Consider the following 21,000-nt stretch of genomic DNA (forward strand, 5'->3'; position numbering starts at 1 on the left):
AAATATAAATCCTCCTTGCTAAAATTATTTTCTTCAAAATACTTCTGGTATTTGTTTTAGATGACAGTTCCCCAAATTGAGAACTTTTGTTACAAAACTGCTCCAGAGACATCTTTGAAAACCCAAGGCTGCAACTGCTGTCGGATTTCAGAATGAAAAGGAGGTTTTCCTCTGGCCTCTTTCACTCCTCAGTGGACTTTAAAGATGTTGGGAACAATTTGGTCTTGTTTTATGTGTCGTGGATTCTCTTTTTGTGAGATAGTTACCTAAATTAGTAAAACATGTAGACAGCAAATGAACCAGACTCGCAATAACCCCCTGAGCAATTGGCCCTCAACTACTTACTTCACAAGGTCGTGTTCAAGGCTGGGTCAGGAGATTGATGTGTATAAAGACAGTTTAAATTCTTTGCAGAAAAGTGTCCTTGGTGTCATTGTTTATTGCCAGTAAGAATGAAAATATCACCACCACTCTCATTAAAAGAAAATTGTATTAAAGCCTACTTTAAACTTGTTTCTTAGGTTCGTCCTGATAATACGGAAGGAAAAAAGTTTCCTTCCTACTTCCTCTCTTCCTTTTTTTTTTAAACACAAGCAAACAAAAACAAACCCTTCTAGTGCTCCTATATCCAAAGGAAATGAATTGCATACATACACATCATCATGTTAGTAGTATGCCCCAGCAGGAAATCTTGAAATGATTGATACTTAAAGTGTTATCGTCTCAAGTGGAAACTCCCGTCAAATACAAATGCACAACAGTTGCATTTTTTTCCTTCTCTTTCTTTTCTGCAAACATGTAATACAGCCCCAAAGAAATCATGCTGGCCAGCTTCCTTTCTCTCTATTTAGTGCCTTCCTTTTCCTCTCCCTATCTCTCCTCATTACCCAGCCGCAATTTGTACACGCACTCCATCCCCCCAACCCCCACCCATCTCTAGTATGTGAAAATAGAAAAGCATCTGAGTATCTGGGCAGCCTATCAGTTTGCTTAGGTTCATTTTAGCTAATCCAGACATCCCACACAGCAGGGGAAAAACTGCTGTATCTAGTGAAACAAGAGCATGAATAATTAAAACTCTGTTATTAATGAACTTCCAGTCGTTATGTAAATGAAACTGATTTCAAGTCTAATTTGTCAGCCTGAATTCTTTCTCTGTTCTTCCTTTGTCTAGGACAAGAACTCATCATAATGGACTTGATAATAAAACACTGGTAGACATGCTGTGTGCAGTGCCCATCTGAGTTAGGGCTTTTACCGTGGTTAATTGATACAGTTACTCCAGAACAAGTCTATAAGGCATTTTGTATAGCTCTAAGTTTTAAAAGCCGCTCTTTTTCCTTTTGACAGGACTGCCTATTCTTTGCACATACCTCATTATCATTTACCTTTACATGAGGGGTGGCATATAATTACTGCCTAGTAAATAGTTTCTTTTGCAATATCCGTGATATTCAAAGACAGCAGAGTTCAAAAAGGTCCAGGGGAAGAGAAGGCTGTAGTCTTCAGAGAATGACAAATAGCCACCAGGGAGAAAAAAAAAAAAAAGAAGAAGAAAAGAAAAAGGAATACTTGACAAAGTGTAGGACCACTAAGAACCAGTCGCCCACTGTTCTACCATCAAGTGTCACTCATGCTGTTGGTGGCATTGTCCAAGTGATACTGTGTTGTCGGTGGTCACATATTTCAGCTACGTTGTTTAGATCTACTGTATTGTTTGTGAAATCATTCACTGTTAAAATGACAACTTCAAATATCACAATTTGATTTCCTATAGTTACAAATATTTTACACAACATAAAAGCAATAATTCTTTCAATAGAAAGCTATTCAGCAGTGTCAACTCATTGACAATTATACTAAGTTCTGATCTTTTTACATTTGGATTTTGAGAATGCTTGTGTATTATTTTTAGGGAATTATATAAATTAGATATCAGAAATTAATTACTATTTTGAATATGTGGCACATGATTTTTTCACTATAAGATAATATATAAATAAGTAAAAGAAACTAATTTGTATTTTGGATCTGTTTGCTACATTAAATATTTAATTTCGTTCCATGTTTAGAAGGGGAAAAATGATCTCCATTCAGAAAGATTTTGTTTTTAAGCTGCAAGTGTTAAGAATATCATTCTTGCTAATCTAGTAGATTTTTCATTATTGAGATCATAGTACAAAGTAATATTAAAAATGAAAAATTTTTCTAGATCCCGCAAATGTTGGTACACTAACTCCTAGTTTTACGTCCCTATGATGGTATTTATAGTGCCTTTGTGTCACTGAACTTAGAGAAATGTTGTCTCACTGTTGAGCTCTGCTATCTTTTGTTATTTTGCACCATTGCTTTGTTTATAGTACTAAAGAATAAATGGTATACTAATCACTTTTGTCCAAACAAAGAAAAATGAAAATCTCAGCATCTGCCTGAAAGATGATCATTAGTCCTGCAGAGAGCCATCGTTTTAGCTTGTGGTACACAAATCTTTGGTCACCTGAAATGTGCCAGACACTGGGCTAAGCAAGGAAAATGAAAATTTTAAAACAGAGCAATTATTTCAAAAAAGTGAGGAAAGACCAAGTAACCAATATTTACAATATAATATGAAAGGTACTATAAATGAGAAAGATACAGTGTACCACATGTGTACATGTGTAATGTGTCAGAGAAGTATTGTAAAGTAATCTGCAAGAAGCCAGAAGATAGAATGCTTCAGAGAAGACCATTATGGCTGCTTTGTCTAATGGCAAAATATTACATGGCCTAAGCCCACTGTCAGTGTTGTCAGGTGCAAGGGTCTGGTTTTAATTTGATTCCTTTTCTCCCAGATGCATTACGTGGCAATTCCTGCCTCAATTTCCCAGCCAGCAAAAGGTATACAGTTATTAAAAAACATGTCTGATTTTCATGATATCAAAGTGTAGGCTGAAGGTACAGGTTAAATAAATTCGGTTTCGTGCAGTTTTACAGGATTTTGACTAGGCCGTGGCATTACAGCAGGGACAGTGCAATTTGAGGTCTCATAATGCCCAGCTTGACCCTGCTCCAGTGACTGCCCTGCACATATCCATCAGGTCTGCATTGAAGAGATTTCATCTCTATTGTGCCTATGCCAGATCTTGCTATAACCACTTCTCAGTCTCACATTTTGATTAAACCTGGAGTTTGTCTAACTCAAACTAAACCTAGCAACTACCTACATTAAAAGACAAAAGCAACCCAGTGATAAGTACAAGACATGTAATGACATATAACATCTCTCTCTCTCACGCGCGCGCACACACACACACATACACACTATGTCTTTTTGTTTTCAATTGATAATATGGCTCATGGGGCTAGCAAGTCTGTTCATTTAATTCCTAGCCAACTCCAGAAGTCATAAAAATGCATAATTTGAAATTAAAGTCAATTAAACCACATTGTTTCTTTGGAAAGTTAAAAGGAAAATACACATAAGTAATAGAAATCAATTATTGTATATTCCCAGGCCTGTTCTTATAAACTGAAGAGGTAATCAATCACTCTGGAGATTTCTACAAGGTAATTACTGTTTATTCTTTAATGATAGTGCCGTCTTCCTTTCTTCCTTCACACCAGCCCTTTGCAGCTGCCACCTCTAAGAAAGCAAATAAGCTACAGTTAAAAAAAAAAAAAGAAAAAAAACGACTGGAAGAAAGTTGGTGTCCTCATAATGTGGACAATAAGACTGCTGAACCTCATCCCCTTCTGTGACCTGAGGCTACGATACTTTATGGCCCTTGCTGTATATACACATCATAACTGCTTTTCAGTAATAAATGCAGCCGTGGCTTTGAGAAAGGGCACTGCTGCATAGGGAGAATTAATGAGAAATATCTTCCTTGTGGATGTTTAGTCATTTACAGGAATTAGGTACAAAAATAAGAAGCAGCTAAAAAAGAACATGGACCAATTAAGAATTTAAAACAACTAGCATCCAACTAAATCTCGTCCCCCTCTTTAAAAAAGACAGGGAGGAAAACAAAGAGTAAAAATAAATGCTACTGCTATTATCGAAAGCCAAAAGCACTAACCAAGAGATTTTACAGCGCTCCAGTCAGAGCCTAGCTAATGAATATAAGTTACCTTAGCCGGTTTTAGCTGACTTTGAAATTAAAGTCTCAAACCCTTGCATGCAGGGAGAGCTGGACTTGAGCAAAATGGACTTAATAAACTCCATTGTGCGGTTAGATCCCTAGTGAGATTTCCTGCCCATCCATGACCAATCAGTATTATTTTTTCAGTGACTGGTACTTTTGTGAGCAAGATTGGGGTTTCTGGGAGTGATTAGCACTTTTCACCCTTGATTGACAGGTTCAAACAGAAATGAGACAATAGGAGGAGTCATTAGGAATTCAAATGTAAGGTTGGTGTTTGCAGGCTTTGGGATTGATTTTAATAGAAAGGAACAATATATGTAAGAAAAGGAATTAATGTTAAAAATGTTATGAAGTATAAATTAATCTTTTCAAATTAAAAAAAAATCAGAATTGAAATTAGTCAAAAATAATATGGATAGGAACAGAAAAATTTAAATGTTTTTTCTAAATACTTTGTAGACAATGGATATATTCAGTTCCTTTCCTTAGCTATTTAAGACTTGAAGATTTAAAATTTTAGGGAAATTCTCAGTATTGAAAGTTTAGATTTGGTTTTCTCGAAGATTGAAAATCCTATAGAAACAAATAAGTATTGTTTTTCTAGGGAAAAGAAAATATGATGAAGTTCTCCATTATATCTAGGGAAGATACCAGAGGGAAATAATTATGGAGAGTGATTCTAGCATTGACCAGTAATTGATAATTGGCCACAAATAATTAGGGTAGTATCTTCACTGGTATAAATTATGCTAATAGCTCAGCCTTGTCCCTAGGTGCTGATACTGGTTTCTTATAAGTAATTTGGTTTTAAATTCACATTATAAATTTAGCATACTATACTTGAAACTTTAATCCTGTTTGGCCTCAAAGCAAAGGCAGATAATTCAGAATTAAACAAGCCTAATCAAAGACAGAAAATAAAATGGACCCCAACATTTGTCAGAATTTTTAAATAAAAGTTGATTTCTTATGGAAAAGAAGTTTTCTGTGACAACAATGAATACAAACCATGTTTTTTAAAAGCAAAGCTAAAGAAGGGCAAAACGTATTATTTGAAGTCACCTCGGAAATTTGAATGGAAGCATTTCTGATAACCTCGTAAGTTGTTAATGTTTAAAGGATGATAGCATAAATTCAATACCCTGTGCACGAAATAATCACTGCATCAGATTTTTATGCATATCCTGTGTGTAGCTCAGCATTCAAGCTGGATTTTTGAATATGTTGTGACTAATTTATGCCAACTTTTCATCAACCTAGCATTTTTCATTTTTCAATTGACATACAAAGTTCTGTAATCTGTGTGCTCAGTATGTTAATATACTGAGATGGTAAGAGAAAATCCAGTGCATCACAATCACAAAAGTAAACTGTGAGGGAGCCTCAGTGGAAGGAAAGGATGAAGAAAATAGTACAACCCAGTGAGGGGTTAGTGTTAGGTTTGATGTGGATTATTAATAAACCGCACTTCCCACATCACGAGATGACTTCTGTCCTTTTTTGACCAATCCACCTAGCACCTGTACTTCAATTTCCCTCCAAAAATTTAAAGCATGCTCTGTCAGTGGTTCTCACACTTTCCTGCAATTGGAATCACCTGAGAATCTTTCAGAAATTCTAAGACTTGGCTTCTGCCCCACACATTCTGATTTCTTAGTGTTTATCAGCAGTCCAGGAGGTTTTGATATCCAGCAAAATTTGAGAACCATTTCTGTAAATGCTTTCTGCCTCTGTTTTTTCTAATTTGGTCTGAAAAGGCACCAGTGTCCTCTCCTATACATGGTTTTTTAAAAATGCTTCTCCATCTTGCGGTTGATTTCAGGGACACGGCTCCTTGATCTGCTGTCTTTTCTGAGAAGCGTCACATCAACATACCCAGTGCTTCTGTTAAAGTCGCTTACAGACTCACATCCACTCTCAACTTCTTTCTTATTTTCCCTTTTATACTCTTTCATCCCCTAAATTACTACAGATCAACTGTTATCCCTCTGAGTTTTCAGCTCTTATTCAATTTCCTATCTTTAGCTATCTTTGGTATCTTATCCCCCAGTTTAAGCATGAAAAAGTTTCCTTTTCAGCATTACCTATTTCTTTCCCTTTTATCTAAAAAAACCACAGGCGGGCTCTATTCCTTTCTTCAATCTTCATCCAAGAGCTAAGTTAAGACCCTTAGTGATTTTTTATCTCATTATAGTGGACTTCTGTTTCAGACTCTAGTTTTCTATCTGTCTTCTCCCAATAGGCTCATCACTTTCCTGACAAAATGCTACTGTCAGACTTCTTGTCATTTCCCTTGCTCATTATGAACACCTCGTCAGTGTGCTTCTTAAACACATCCTATGCAATTCAGCTCTTTATTCTCTTTTCATAGGCTCCTTCTGTTCCAAGCTGTCCCTAGAATTATGGGTCTGGATAGGAGTCAGCCTGTGGACTGATAGCCATGCTTAATAAATGTTTCTGCACCAAAGAGCTTCTGCAGAGGGCGATTCTGCAACATGGATGACCAAGAGTCTCTCTAGAGTTCCTGGAATTGCTTTAGGCCTTAGAAACACGTGTTCCTTAAGTCATGTTCTTCTGCCTTTCAACAACCTATTTTATTCTAACGCACACATCTGGTACTGCATCAGAATCATCCAAAGAGCCAGGAAGGAAGACCTAGGACTGATAGTTATATACATCTATAACTGTTCTGTTTTTCTTTTGTTCAAGTTATGCAAATTATGTACTTATTTGAACAATTATAAAAAGAGTGGCTGCTGCCCTTTGGCCTTCCACATCAAGGGCCTGTTTCCTGCATCAACTGAGCTTTGTAAAATCCATCATTATCCCTGCTTCTATCCCCCGGTGCTCCTGCTCACCATTTCCCTTCCCAACAGATTCTACCCCCAACTGCTCCCTGTACCCAGCTGTTCCTCTTCCCTTTCTTGTTCGCATGCCCTTTTTCAAGTTCCACATTTTCATTTGCTAGGTCACCACCTTGAATTTTCTCAACTTCCTCTTGTAAATTTACTTCTTGCCATGGCACTTTTCTATGACAGCTTTTCAAATAAATCTTCTTTCGGAGGCAAAGAAACACACACAAAAACATTTTTTAAAGTCAAAGAAACATATACCAGTGAGAGAACCCTATCTTCTTTGTGGGTGGGTTGTATTTCTGAACTATTGAACACACATACATGTCACATGATGATGGATGTCAAGTCCTGGATGTAGAAACAAGTTCAAATTAACGTGCAGCAGGAATAATTGCTCAAAGATCAAAAAGCAAATTTCAGTTGTCACATAGTGAGCTTAAAATGTCACAAAGCAAGTTGAAAGGAAGAATACAATTATTTTTAATTTATTAATTTCAAATAAAGTCATTAATGCACAAAGGTAGAAAGAAGCTTGGTTTCCCTGAGTTTGGACTTCAGGTTTGGTCAGATCAGTTTCAAATCCTGACTGCAGTTTTGCTAGCTGTGTAACCCTCACAAATAATTTAACCTCTCATAGTCTGTTTCCTCACTGGTAACAGCAAGGTGTAAATAATATTTTATTTCAAGGATATTTTTGAGGTCTAAATAAGGTAAGATCTGTTAAGCACATTGCAGGATTGGGAGGTAGGTAGAACTCTGTAAATGGTGGTTGACATTATTATTTGCATGCCTTAGTAAATCTACCACCAAATATCTGGGTATATTTTATACATTTCTTGGGCAGCTCTGATATTATTCTTTCTTCAGACCACCACAAATCCATCCCTGGCATTTAACATATCAATACAAAGATATTTATATTTTCTTGTCAATACCTTAGCATTATTTAGTATTATGTATACTTTGCCCATTTTTCATTCAGGAGATGTTTTAAATGGAAAACATATTAAGCTACCCCACATGCTTTCAATATAGTATATCTGTTATCAGCCTCTGTAGCCACTAGATGTCAATACAATGTTTATCTGGAAGGTTTAATAAGGACTCATTAGTATCCTATTTAATGATTAAATAACGTACTCCCTTTGCAAGGCATTTTAATATTGAAGGGTTTCTGAGAATTTTATGATAATATTTATGGAATTTACTCCACTAACAGCTGAAATGCTTCACCTCATCCAGGCGTAAACAGTTGTTGAATAGAAACAGTTTTAAGCCTGAATCGAATTAAAATTGTGAAGAAAAATGTATATAGGCCGAATATAATTGCCCTGATTGACTTTCTGCAGGTACTTAACTTGTGGAAACAGCAACGAGGTCTTTATTATTCAAAACTGGATAAGACCTAAATTTTATATTTCATTTTAAAGATAGTATCTTACCTTCTCATAGTTATGACAGTAATTCAGAGAGAAGAAATAACCTAGGATGTTTCTAAAATCATTTTCTTCAGTATATTGGCTATTTAATTAGTGATTTGATTAAATATAATTTAAAATGTTACCAAAAATCAGCTTTAGGAAGTTTGGGTTTTTACTCTTCAATCTCTAACCCTCAAATTACAGTAAATAACTTTTTCCTGAACATACCAATTCACTTCATTATTTTTTGAAGCACCATACCAGTACAGAGAAATGTAATTTAAATCTTTCCTTTGAAATTAGGGAGTCATAACTTACTTGAAAAATAGGCAGAAATTGACCTCAAAAACAAACAAATAAAAATAAACAAAAAATATTGTCTTTATCTGGGGATGTTACTTTACTAGATGATTTTTTTCCCCCAGTTCCAGCTTTATGTGTTTGTTCTCTAGATATTTATCATTGAACCTATCTGTTTATTTCAGCCAAATAAAGAATAAAAGAACTTGGAAAATCCACTAGCCTAAAAGAAATCTTGCATTTAGGCCGTGCACCATGGCTCACACCTGTAATCCTAGCACTTTGCGAGGCCGAGGGCCGAGGCAGGCGGATTGCCTGAGCTGAGGAGTTGGAGACCAGCCTGGGCAACAGTGAAACCCTGTCTCTACTAAAATACAAAAAATTAGCCGGGGGTGGTGGCACACGCCTGTAATCCCAGCTACTCAGGAGTCTGAGGCAAGAGAATCTCTTGAACCAGGGAGGTGGGGGGAGGTTGCAGTAAGCCAAGATCACACCACTTGCATTCCAGCCTGGGCGACAGAGCAAGACTCTGAAAAAAAAGGAAAGGAAAGGAAAGGGAAAGGGAAAGGAATCTTGCATTTAATCTCTAGTCTGTATATCTCTTGTTACATGCTCTAGTAAAATCCTATATTTCCAAACCCTTCCCTAAATGAAATGGCACCATAATGAAATTTTAGGATGAGAAATAAAATTTTAAGACAGCTTTAAGAAGATTCTTTTTCTCTTTGCTTGCCTTTCCACATACATACTGCAAGTTGGTAACATTTTACATAAGATGATAATTTAACATAGTGAATGTTTTAGGAAGGAAGGGAATAAAAGGAGGGAAGGAGGAAGGAAACTGAGAGCAAAAGTGTCTGTCTGAGAACCCGTTCATTTCTTTCTCAACCACTTTATGGAAATTTTCTCCACAATTAGGACCCCAGTGCCTGTTATGTGAACTCAATGGATCAATGTAAGCAAATTAGAGATAGAGGGAGGGAGGAGAGAGGGAAAGAGAGAGAGCAGAAGGAGGATGAGGAGGAGGAGGTGATGATGGAGAGTGGGTGGGAGGGACAGAGGGGATGGTGTGATCGGCAAGAAAGGTTTGTGAAGGCTCAGTATGTTAAATTGACTTTTGCGATTGTCTCACAGTTTTGGCAGAGGTCGTGAGTAAGAATAAAAAGTAACTGTTATCCCACTTTCAAGGGAAAATTTATCCCTGCACTGTTCTGTATGGTAGGCCTTTGGCACAAGAGTCTATTGAGCACTTGAGATGTGGCTAGTGGAACTGAGATGTTCCAGAACTTATATACACACTGGATTTCAATAATGTAGTGTGAAAAAAATGTGAAATATCTGATTAATACTTGTTGCATGTTGAAATAATAAAATTGTAGATTAATCCAGTTAAACGTATTATTAAAATTAATTTCACCTGTTTCTTTGGACATTTTTAATGTGGCTACCAGAAAATTCAAAATAATATATGTGGCTTGCATTATATTTCTACTGAACTGCACCATTCAGAAGGGCTTTGCTAATAAATAGCAAAATGGTGCTTTAACCCTTAACCTATCACCCGTCTCCAGGTTAATATTGTGAGACTAGCTGGAGAGTCAAGAATGCTTTGTGAAAGAAAACTATAGGCCTATCAAGGGTAGCGCTGCAGCATCTTATTTCCACTGGGCAAGGGATGTGAGGTTTTTTTTTTTCCCACTTCAAGATAAACTTCAAAAGAGAACCATTTGTTTAGATGTAGATACAGAGCTGAAGAGGAGACTGACACCTCATACAACATGGATGTCCACATGGTTGCAAACACTCTTGGGAGGCTCTTTTCCTTGGTATGTGGAGTTGAGTGTCCACAGAGCTCTTAGAATCACTTGGCCTAGGCCTGTTGCAGTTGGAAAGACTCAGAAGCAGAAGTTAATGAGGAGAAGAAGAGGGAGAACAAGGAGATAGAAGGCAGAGAGCTCTTTCCCTCTCCCTATCACAGGTCTCCCAGTGTAGGCAAGCTTGAGCTGGAAAAGAGAAAGGAGCTTCGAATTGGATATGAAATGAACGTTTGAGTTTGGATAGAATGGGATTTTGTAATAGCTGAAATTGACACTGTTAATACATGAAAAATACTAGAAAACCTATGGAATATGCCTGAGTTTAGCGGCAGAAAAGAATCATTATGTTTATTGTCTGTCTCCCCCATTAGAATTTAAGCTCCAAGAAGATAGGATTGTTGTATATCTTTTGTGTTGTTTTGTTTCCACTTCATACTCTAATGAGCCTTAAATAGTACTTGGCCCATAGTGGGTGTACAATAAATATTGGTTAAATGGATGAATAGATGAATCTGACATGATATGATTGAAGCAGTAGTTGGATGGGGAAAGATGCTTCCTGGTATGCCTACAGAGTCTAGCATGTTCAATAACCTGGACACTTGTGTTCAGAAAAGCAAGGTCCATGTCATTCAGTGAGCATGAAGTAGCTGGTACATAAGGGGAGGGATTGCTGGTCAGTTCAGCAAATGCAGTCCATTTTAGAAATTATAGAGTAGAGTCAAATCACTACATGATGCTATACTATCAAGAACTCTTTTACATTTTCCTTGCCAATAGACTCATATTAAGGCTTGTGATGCTTAAAATATTTCCAGTGCTTTAGAGTTATTGAACATTTTTCAGTCAGTAAGATCCTTATGAAATTTCTTCCATCATTCATGGCCAATTACCTTTGTTTTTTCAATTACTGGTCATTTTGTTTGAGATTGAGTTTTGAGTATGATGAATACTTTTCATCATTATTTTATGTAGATTCAAGTAACAGTGAGAAAGATCATAACTCTGGCAAAGATTTATGCTGCCACCAGTATAGTTCCTAACCTTTTCTAAGAAAACATTTTGATAGGTGGTATGTGACAACTGCGCTAGGAACCCAGGGCCTAAAAGCAGTCAGAGTCATCACAATTCGTTCCTTAGGCCCCCCAAGTCTTTAGCCTTCTATTTCCTTGGTTTCCTAGAGCTCATTGACATCAATTGTTGCACCTCAAAATCAACAATAAGGATAAAACACAATGCTAAACATCTAGTTTTGTTTTTTTAAAGAAAACTTGTATCTAAACACTTTCTGAAAATGACACTCATGGGCATAAGTCATTACTGCCTTTCAAAATATAGGATGGTGGTGATTATTTTATCTGAGTATGTGAACTTAGCTAAAAAGATGCATGCATAATCAGCTACTCCCCTGAGTACCATCTCAGTTTTTATTACTATTGTTTACGTCTTGACAACTCTTCCTCTTTCTCTGCTGTCTGACATCTTTGCTCAAAGGTATCTACTAGCCTTTAGGTGACATAGGTGAGCTCTTTCTCAAAAGATTTTTAAAGCATTTATGCAGATTTTAGAATAATTTGTGAAAAAGAATTAGGAATACCTATTTTACTATGTTACAATTTGACCAATGTTAGCCTAAGATGTGCCGTCATTTGATGGATGAGGGAAAAAGAATGCTAAAACCTTTAATAATTTTGTAAATGGGTTCATCTTTCCTAAAGAGAAAAGCAAAGATCTCTCATACTAAAAGGATTATTTGGGGGGAGGAGATGGACAGAGAAGTACAAAAGACAAGAAAAACTGTAAGTGATAAAGACTGGGACAAGTAGATGACAGAAAAGACACAAAGAGTAGGGATATCAAATTGCTGACAACTCAAGTGTCAACTTGGGTTAATAGTGCCCTTCCTGGAGGAGGATGTTCAGAAAAATTGTGAGGCTATTACAATCTGTGTAGGAAAGCTGTCATGAGTAGTTAGTTATCTCTGCCACGGGGGCAAGTAGCAGGAATAGGGCATAAGTGCCTTGTATTTCCATTTCTATGCCAGAAGGGAAAGTTCTCTGCTACAAGAAAACCAGTGAGTGTTCAGAGGAAGCAGTGCTTCCATAGGTGTCAGGGAATCCCAGCTACGTCAACATTGAGGAACCTACGTCTGAATTTATATTTTCCACTGAAGAGAAAAGCCTTCACACTAGACACTTAAATATATGGGTAGGAAAAAAAGAAAGAAAGAGAAAGAGCATAAGTGACAGAGAGAGAAAGAAAAAGAAAAAAAGGAAAGAAAGGGAAAGCAAAAAAGAATGAAACAAGGAAGGAAGAAAGTACAATCTTTTGATTAGATCACATCCTTTAGGTCTCCACTATTATACCTTAAAATACTGAGAGAACTTGACAATATGATTGGTGAGGTAGTCTAAGTAAAGCTGCAAAAATATCTAAGTAAAGCAGCAAAAATTGTGAGGAGTAGGAAATGTATCAGAAACTGGGTATGAGCCAAATATTATCCTAGTGCTCAAGAAGAAGAGAAAAAGATGGATTATATTTACCAAAGAAACAATGTCCCTTCTCCTTTCCAAAGTGAACACCTCCTCCACCTGTGCTTTTTCACCTCAAGCCCAGATCCTTCTTCTCTTCTCTTTCTACACAAATTTATTGAAACGTTGTGCCTGCTTACCTTCCATTTTCCTTCTCCCATTTTCCTGTCAATTCTTTTCAATGGATTCCATAGAAATCTCGCAAAGTTGCTATTTAAAGGATTCCTAAGTGTCCAATTTCTAGTACATCATTAAACATGTCCCATTACACCTTCTTTCAGATAACATTGTGCAGTTTAACCTGTGATATCCTGTGTTTTTTCTGCAGTCATTCTACCTTTTTCTCATTCTGGCTTCTCCTTCATTGACTATAGATATCCTCTCAGATTCTGTCCTCAGATTCGCCATTCCAAATGCTTATCTTAGAAATTTTATCAACATCCATCGATTAAACTGTATTTTTAAATCACCCACATTTACCTGCCTAGTCCAGGTACCCTAAATATTACTGGTTTTGCATTTCAGCTGCCCTGTGGAAATATCCATGGATGTCCCACACATAGCTCATTTCAACTTGCCCAAATAAAACTTATCCTCTCTGTTCACAGAACTACTTTTCGTTCTGTTCCTCAGATTGGTTGACCATTGCCACTAACCCACCCTGGAACCAATACTATGTACCCACCATGCACTGTGCTATGGTTTACATGTGTCATATCACATAATAGGCACACCAGCCCTCCAAGATGGATTATTATACCCATTTTACAGATGAGGAAATGGAGACAATAAGAGGTTAAGTAACTTGCCCAAAAGGCCAATAGGCTGTCATATCGTAAAGCCAGAATTACTCCTAACACCTGACTATCCTGACAGCCAATAATATTTTCATGCCAACCTGAAGAAAACATGTATAAATAAATAAGGAAATGTGGATTCATTCTGTTTCTACAGAAAACAGGGCTGGAGCAGTGAAGAGAAATTACATGAATATAGATTTCTGTCATTTTATCAAATAACTTCTTAAGAGACACAGCAAAGAAACAAGTTTCCTGGCAAAGTGACGGCTTCCAACACAGGACAGTTGCAAAAGGATCTTTTGGATAATGAGAAAATGTAGACTACACAGACTCCTAAAGTTCACAATATGCCCTGGCACTCCTGCAGTTTGTAGGATAGCTCTTCAGTAGTTAGTTTATTAATCCTGTAAAGAACAAAACAGATGCATGCAGCCATTTAGTAAATATACTGCATGTTAGAGAATCAATATATTTTTGTATTAAACAGTCTAAAGTCATGAAAACTTTGGTAACGAAAAGCTAGAATTTTAAATAAGAAGAAAGTGTTTTTTATTTTAGTGATTCAGCTGCTTCAGGTCGTGTTGTGTTCTCTGTTTTGAAAAGCAGCTACCACAGCTGCTGCAAACATTTTTGAATGATCCATCACTACGATGTCATTCTGGCTGCAGCGTCATCTTGTGTGGCTCAGGAAGGAAGAGGGGAGAAAAGTGTGAACGGAACAAATGGCACACTGTGTTCCAAAACTGAAGAGAGCATTTTTTGTATATTTGAGAGTAATTTTTTTGCATTGTTTATTTTTGGGGGTTTTCTTTAAACATACACTTTAATGTATTGTCTTTAAAAAAAAATACTGCTTTCAGAAAGAGTCTGTGCTCAACAGTTTGCATCCTGCGATAATTATTCCTTGGGGGAGTCGGTAAATAGGAGCAAGGGGCAGGAGGAGTCATTATCTCCAACTAAAACTACAGTGGGAACATCGGAGAGGTGAGGTATCAGATAAGAGATGCAGGAATCCATGCTCGGTTCCTGTGGCCGTACAGGCTGGGCGATATGCCCAGGGCTCTAGATGATTCTGCAGAGGCCACTGGCAGGTGCCTACAATGAGACTCTGTTCATCCACTTTAATTAGCACCTCATCACTTTCAGTTTGGTGTCACCCAGCTGGCTACAGCTAGACGACACCTCCAGCTTGAACTGGGCTCCATTCCATTTTCTTGGAGCTTATCGAGACATGTGGTGCTTGCTTTAAGTGCAGCTGGTGCTGGCACTTTCATTGTAAATTTAAATCTCTGTTTGGAAAAAGGTGATAAGAACAGTTTGTTTCAAGTCGCTGGTGTTTAAGCCTTAAGCAATTCCCAGCAAATACATTCAAGGCTCCTTCTGGTTTGATCGGCTACAATTTGTAGTCGTCTTATTAATAGTGGCAGTGTTCAGATTCTTCTTAATGCTATTCACATTAAGGAAGTCGCTACACTGCCTCACGATTTCTCTGTGGTTCAGAGTTTGTGCTGATTGCTTTTAGCATTTTTGGTGATGCTTGTTGATCAGTGTAAGTTATGAGAAAAATACTGGCATCTGCATGCATTTATTTGAGTTTTTTTTTTCTTGTTTCAATGGAACAAAAAATGAGATGCTTACTAGATGCATTCTGTTTCATTGCAGTTATTTCTCAATAACTCAGGGTGCTAATATCCAAGACTGCACAGTGAGCTACAAGTGAAAGCTTAATGATCTTCTGTTTTTCCATACAGTTATTGCACCATCAGTATTTAACTCATTTCTTTATAAAACATCTTATTATATATTGTGTTTGAAAGTATTGTGTAAAAATAATGTCTGTTAATGTATTTTGTAACCAATTTGTATATCTCTTGGTTTTTGTCCCCAAGATTGGCAAACTTGATTAAAATATTTTTTTCTTTTTTAAAAAATTTCTTCTTATAGGCTGGGTGTGGTGGCTCATGCCTGTAATCCCAGCACTTTGGGAGGCCGAGATGGGTGGATCACCTCAGGTCAGGAATTTGAGACCAGCTTGGCTAACATGGCAAAACCCTGTCTCTACTAAAAATACAAAAAAAAAAAAAAATTAGCTGGGTGTGGTGGCGGGCACCTGTAATCCCAGCTGCTCGGGAGGCTGAGGCAGGAGAATCACTTGAACCCAGGATGCAGAGGTTACAGTGAGCCAAGATCGCGCCATTGCACTCCAGAGTACAACAGAGTGAGACTCCGTCTGAAAAATAAAAAAAAAGAAATTTCTTCTTAAACGCCTTTAGATACTCTGTAGGCATCAGATACCCACATTTTGGAGATAAGGAATGAAAAACTGAAATTAAAATTACTTCCTTTTTATATAGTATTCTCAGCAACCTTACGAGAGACAGGGAAAACAACCTCAAATGGATGACTACAGTACTAAAAAGAATGTTGATTATTGCATCCTTCTAATTCCTTTCTCTTTCTCTCTTTCTGGAACTAACAAATAACCCCAGTGGAGGAAACATTTCCCATGTGATTTTACATCTGAGCGAATTTAACCAGGAAAGTCTTGTTTCTAAAGCTTAAATTTTGTGGAATTATTTCCTTATTGATAGTTTATGGGGTTTCCTAATTTAGATGTCTTCATTTGTTCTCTTAACTCAAAATCACACTTTTATTAGTAACATTTTAAGTCAAAATGATACCTTAAGTTGCAACCGAAGTTTTATGGACATTATCTAATATAGTTTTCATGAAAATTCTGATTTTTTGTAGGTAAGGAAACTTAATTTCAGACAAATTAAGTCATGGGCTGGTGTCACATAGCTGATGATAGAAGAGGGAGGTCTCAAGCCTAGTCTCTGTTATACAGCACAAGGCTGGAAACCAGCTAAAGATTCTTCAACCAGAATCTTCCTCCTAAGAAACAAGAAACAAGGGCAACTAGGAGGCTTTAGGCATTCGTTTCCAGCATTATTACCATTTTCCTTGGCCTGGTGGATGAACTTTTCAGAGACTGGTTTTATCATTTATAATAGACAAAATCATACTGAACTCATATGACTATTACTACAGCTAGATAAGGTAAAAAGTCAAGTATTTAGCACAGTAAATAATAGTTACCTTCATTTCTTCTTTATACCAAAAATATAGATGCCTAGTCTAGCATTACCAGATGAAACTGAAATATTCTTAGTTGGTCAGTTAAGAACTATATGATGTTTATTTTGACAGTTCGTCCTGAAGCAGAGTAATATTTCACATTATAAGTTTTAATTTCAGAACATATAGCATAAGCCCACCCTTTCTTTCTCTGTATAAGAAAGATGGAAAATATTTTTTAAATTATACAAGATATAGCTGACCATATTAGGGAAAGGAAGTATACATTTTAAAAATTTACTGATTTATAGTCATAATAGACAAATATTTATTTTCATATGAGCTAGCATTCACTTATATAACGACTAAGTGGTTTTTGAAAACTCATTGTATCCTAACAATGAGTTATCTGATGTCTAGTTTTCATTAAACCTGTTTTCCAGATAAGGAAACTGAAGTGCAAAAAGGCAAGGTCATCTAGTACAGGAATTTACCCCACTCAGCACCCACATTCAACCATATATGCTGTGTTAAAATAATTTAAATATTACTTGTTGTGACAATTTTATCAACTTAAATCTTACAGTTATGAAGAAATTCTCCTGAACGTCTGTATCCTTTAAGGGTTAGATCATAAGTATATTTCAGCATTTATGTCATTTATTTGTTAAAATTAGTCGTTATCAATAAAACTACTCATTGGAGTTGAAAATAAATACAAATTAAAGAAATTTAATTTGAACATTGGATAACAATAAAAATTGTTGTTCAGTGTTTTTCCATGATTTCCATCAGTGTCTAGTAACAATCCTTTTAAACATAATAAAAATAACCATAGATACTAGAAATTGTTTGTGAAAGTAATGGAGGAGCTAATTGAGATTTCTAAACTAAGAAGCCCCATAAACTATCAATAAGGAGATAATTCCGCAAAATTTAACTTTAGAAACAAGGCTTTCCCGGTCAAATTCACTCAGATGTAAAATCACATGGGGAATGTTTCCCCCACTTGGGTTATGCATTGATTCCAGAAAGACAGAAAGAAATTAGAAGGATGCAATAATCAACATTCTGTTTAGGACTGTAGTCATCCATCTGAGGTTGTTTCTCCTGTCCCTTGTAAGATTGCAGGGATGAGATGTGGCCCTCGGCGCAGAAGCTCCCAGGCAGGTGGGCAACTGCCTGGGGCAGGACCAGCTTCAGCTGTGAGCCTTGCTCTCCCTGATTTGGGGGAAGACCAAAAGTCGTGTTTCGTTAATCTGGGTAACCTCATTTTCATCTCATTTAACTAGTCTAAGTTAATTGAACTACCTGCTGAGATCTCTGGCACATAGCTAAATAAGGTGAAATGAGGTTACAATGTTCCCTAACCCACTTTTGGCCCCATTTACTGTATAGGCTGGTTTTCAAAGAGGGTCAGAAAACACTTTGAAAATGGCAGATTACATCCTACTGCTTTGTAGCTACACCTATGTCAATTCCTTGTCATCCTGCTCCTTAACTTCACCTCTCCTTAAATATGTAGCCCTTCCCTGTTTCTTTGCCTCCATCTCACACAGATCCACTTCTCATTTTTTCAAGTCAGTTACCAACATAACATATCCTTAGACCCTTCCCACCCATATCTATGTACTCTATTGACGTTTCTGACACATTGTGTCCACAACTGCTCTCTATGGCTCTTTGTCTCCCAACAGATCTCACTAAACTCTCTTTTAGTCTGAACAGACTATGTGTACCCAAGGTTAAAAGTTGCCTTGAAAAATAAAAATTCAACCCACCAACTGCTTAGACTCTTTTAAAACACCAGTTTGAGAATTTAGCACTGCTATGATTGCATTCATTAATTATTTGGGCTTTAGCAGAAACTGATATTAGTTATTTCTGACATAGAGAACAAAATATAGTTTGCGGCCAAACAAACAGAAAGTTTGAATAAAGCACCGTATGTTTCTGCATTGTTTTCTCTTGCAAAAGTCCTAATGGAGGATTCATTTCAGTGATTCATTGTGTCCTTAAAAATGTAATTTTTCTTTTGCCATCCAAGTAATACGTGTTTATTATAGAACAACTTAAAAAAAATTATCTTTGCTCTTGTCCTAAACCCACACATATAATTTATTATTTTAAAATAAGGCGAATAGCTATTGATACTTAAATACTTAATTTTGCCTGTGCAAATCTGAGTTTAAAGCCAAAATGCCTGAATTAGTGATGTATACTAATTGCCATAAATATCTTGTAAGAACTCACTGAGTATTTTACTTTTAACCTGCGTTTCCATCGCTATCAGTGTTTCATTCTAGATAGTAGTAATTATAAAACCATTAAATGTATTGCAGCATAAAAACATCTTTATGTTTGTAAACACAGGAGATATTAGATAGGGTTCCATTTGTAAATGTAAGATAATTTCTTCCTATAGGTTATCATTCTGTCTTATACCTTCACTAAAACAGTATCTATCCTTACATTTTACATTATATATATGTTTTATATATTGAATTATACATATATTTTATACATTATATTTATATTAGCTATATCCTTATATTTTACAGTGAGCACACAGAAACATCCTGTACACCACACTAATTTTATTTAGAATGTTCACTTTCTCTTCCATGACTACTCTTACTCTCTCTAATCTATTTATGTATGAATATACTCAAGTTTATGGAGCTATTTTTTTATTTAATTTGTTCCTAAACATGCTATAGAAAGTTGACAACTGCGTGATATTAAGAAAGAATAGTCACCCTCAGAACCCAGACTCACCAATAGAAGAACTCTTCATTAGCTGTTTTATGAAACTGAAACCCAAACCTAATCTGAATGTTGTAGGATTGTTTCTCAAACTGTATCTGTTTTATAGCTTCTCATGGACACTTTTTTAAAGTTCCAGTTTTAGAGCGACAAGTGCCTTTTATATGAGTCTTACTTAAGCCATTTAAAACAAAAACCACGGCTGTTATAGCCTAAGAAGATAAGAGAGATGAACTAGTCAAGGTGAAGAAAATGAAGCAATCAAGATGAATGCTCAAGCACCTTCGTGCATTTAGCAACATAGAAGTATATTGACAAATAATGGAATATTCCTGTTCCTGGATTAAATAAGAAAAAGAGAGCAGAACAAGGTATAGATGAGCTAATTCTTATCTGATAAATAGCTACTTCTATTTCAAGTAATTCATTATTTTAATAATAACACTACATAAAACCCAAAACTGCATAGGAATATATATTTCCCCCAGAAGCAATTAAAAATGATTCAACAATGTACAAACAGAATCAAGAATCCGGGCATGGCGAAAGTCTTCACAATTCCAAATACTGCTAGTTATAGCATGATTAGATTATAAAAATGGGAGAGATGTTAACCAGGTTATTCCTTACATTGGATGTGACTCTGTGTTTGAGCTTAAACAAGGTGTTTTCAAGCATGTTTCCTTTCATAAAACTTTTAATAGACATGTGGAAATGGAAGACATATGTTTAACAATTATAACATAAGCTCACTCGAAAGTCTCCTGAATAAGACTGAACATTCCCTAAATCATGGTGTCTGACTTTCAAAAGACTAAATCAAATCTTCAAATGAAAACAATTGTGATGCAGTTAATTAAAACAACTTTGTGGCTATGTTTGATCATTTTTAAAGGGTGTGCATTTCTAAATGGCATAGGTTTTCATGTTTTAAACTGTGTAAGTCTTCATTATAAAGAGACCAGCTCCCATCACCAGATGTACATATACCTTCTGGGGGCTACTTATACACACAAAATGTGAGTGAATAAATCCCTTTTGGTCTTGCTTTTATAAATCAAAATTTAAGAATGAAATTCAAACATTAATTGATCAAAATCCCACAATGAATAAAAAACAAATATGTCTCTATTTCCTTATTAATTCTAATTGTTTAAAGAGTACATTCTTAAATCTGAATCTCCTTTCTAGTTCCAACAACTAGTCGGACTACAGAGGAACAAAGCAGCTTGCCCATGTCAACAGATCATTTTATTTGGGCTCCAGGTTTCTGAATGAACCTCAACACAGACCCTTGTAGACATCTGA

General features: G+C 36.2%; 1 protein-coding gene across 8 annotated transcripts in view, besides 2 other annotated features; it reads left to right on the forward strand.

Moving 5' to 3' along the window:
• The window catches only part of ADGRL2 (adhesion G protein-coupled receptor L2), a 687,801-nt gene that overhangs the window by 157,268 nt on the left and 509,533 nt on the right, over positions 1-21,000 (forward strand). The gene's annotated exons all lie outside the window — the stretch shown is intronic.
• Positions 6,471-6,978: an enhancer, noted in NCBI's record as "H3K27ac-H3K4me1 hESC enhancer chr1:81935555-81936062 (GRCh37/hg19 assembly coordinates)". NCBI's record gives its function as "activates a minimal SCP1, AML or CMV promoter by ChIP-STARR-seq in primed H9 embryonic stem cells {active_cell/tissue: H9 hESC(primed)}" and the evidence as "EXISTENCE:reporter gene assay evidence [ECO:0000049][PMID:30033119]".
• Positions 6,979-7,486: an enhancer, noted in NCBI's record as "H3K27ac-H3K4me1 hESC enhancer chr1:81936063-81936570 (GRCh37/hg19 assembly coordinates)". NCBI's record gives its function as "activates a minimal SCP1, AML or CMV promoter by ChIP-STARR-seq in primed H9 embryonic stem cells {active_cell/tissue: H9 hESC(primed)}" and the evidence as "EXISTENCE:reporter gene assay evidence [ECO:0000049][PMID:30033119]".

This window comes from Homo sapiens, chromosome 1 (assembly GCF_000001405.40).
Source record: "Homo sapiens chromosome 1, GRCh38.p14 Primary Assembly".
Taxonomy (NCBI): Eukaryota; Metazoa; Chordata; class Mammalia; order Primates; family Hominidae; genus Homo; species Homo sapiens.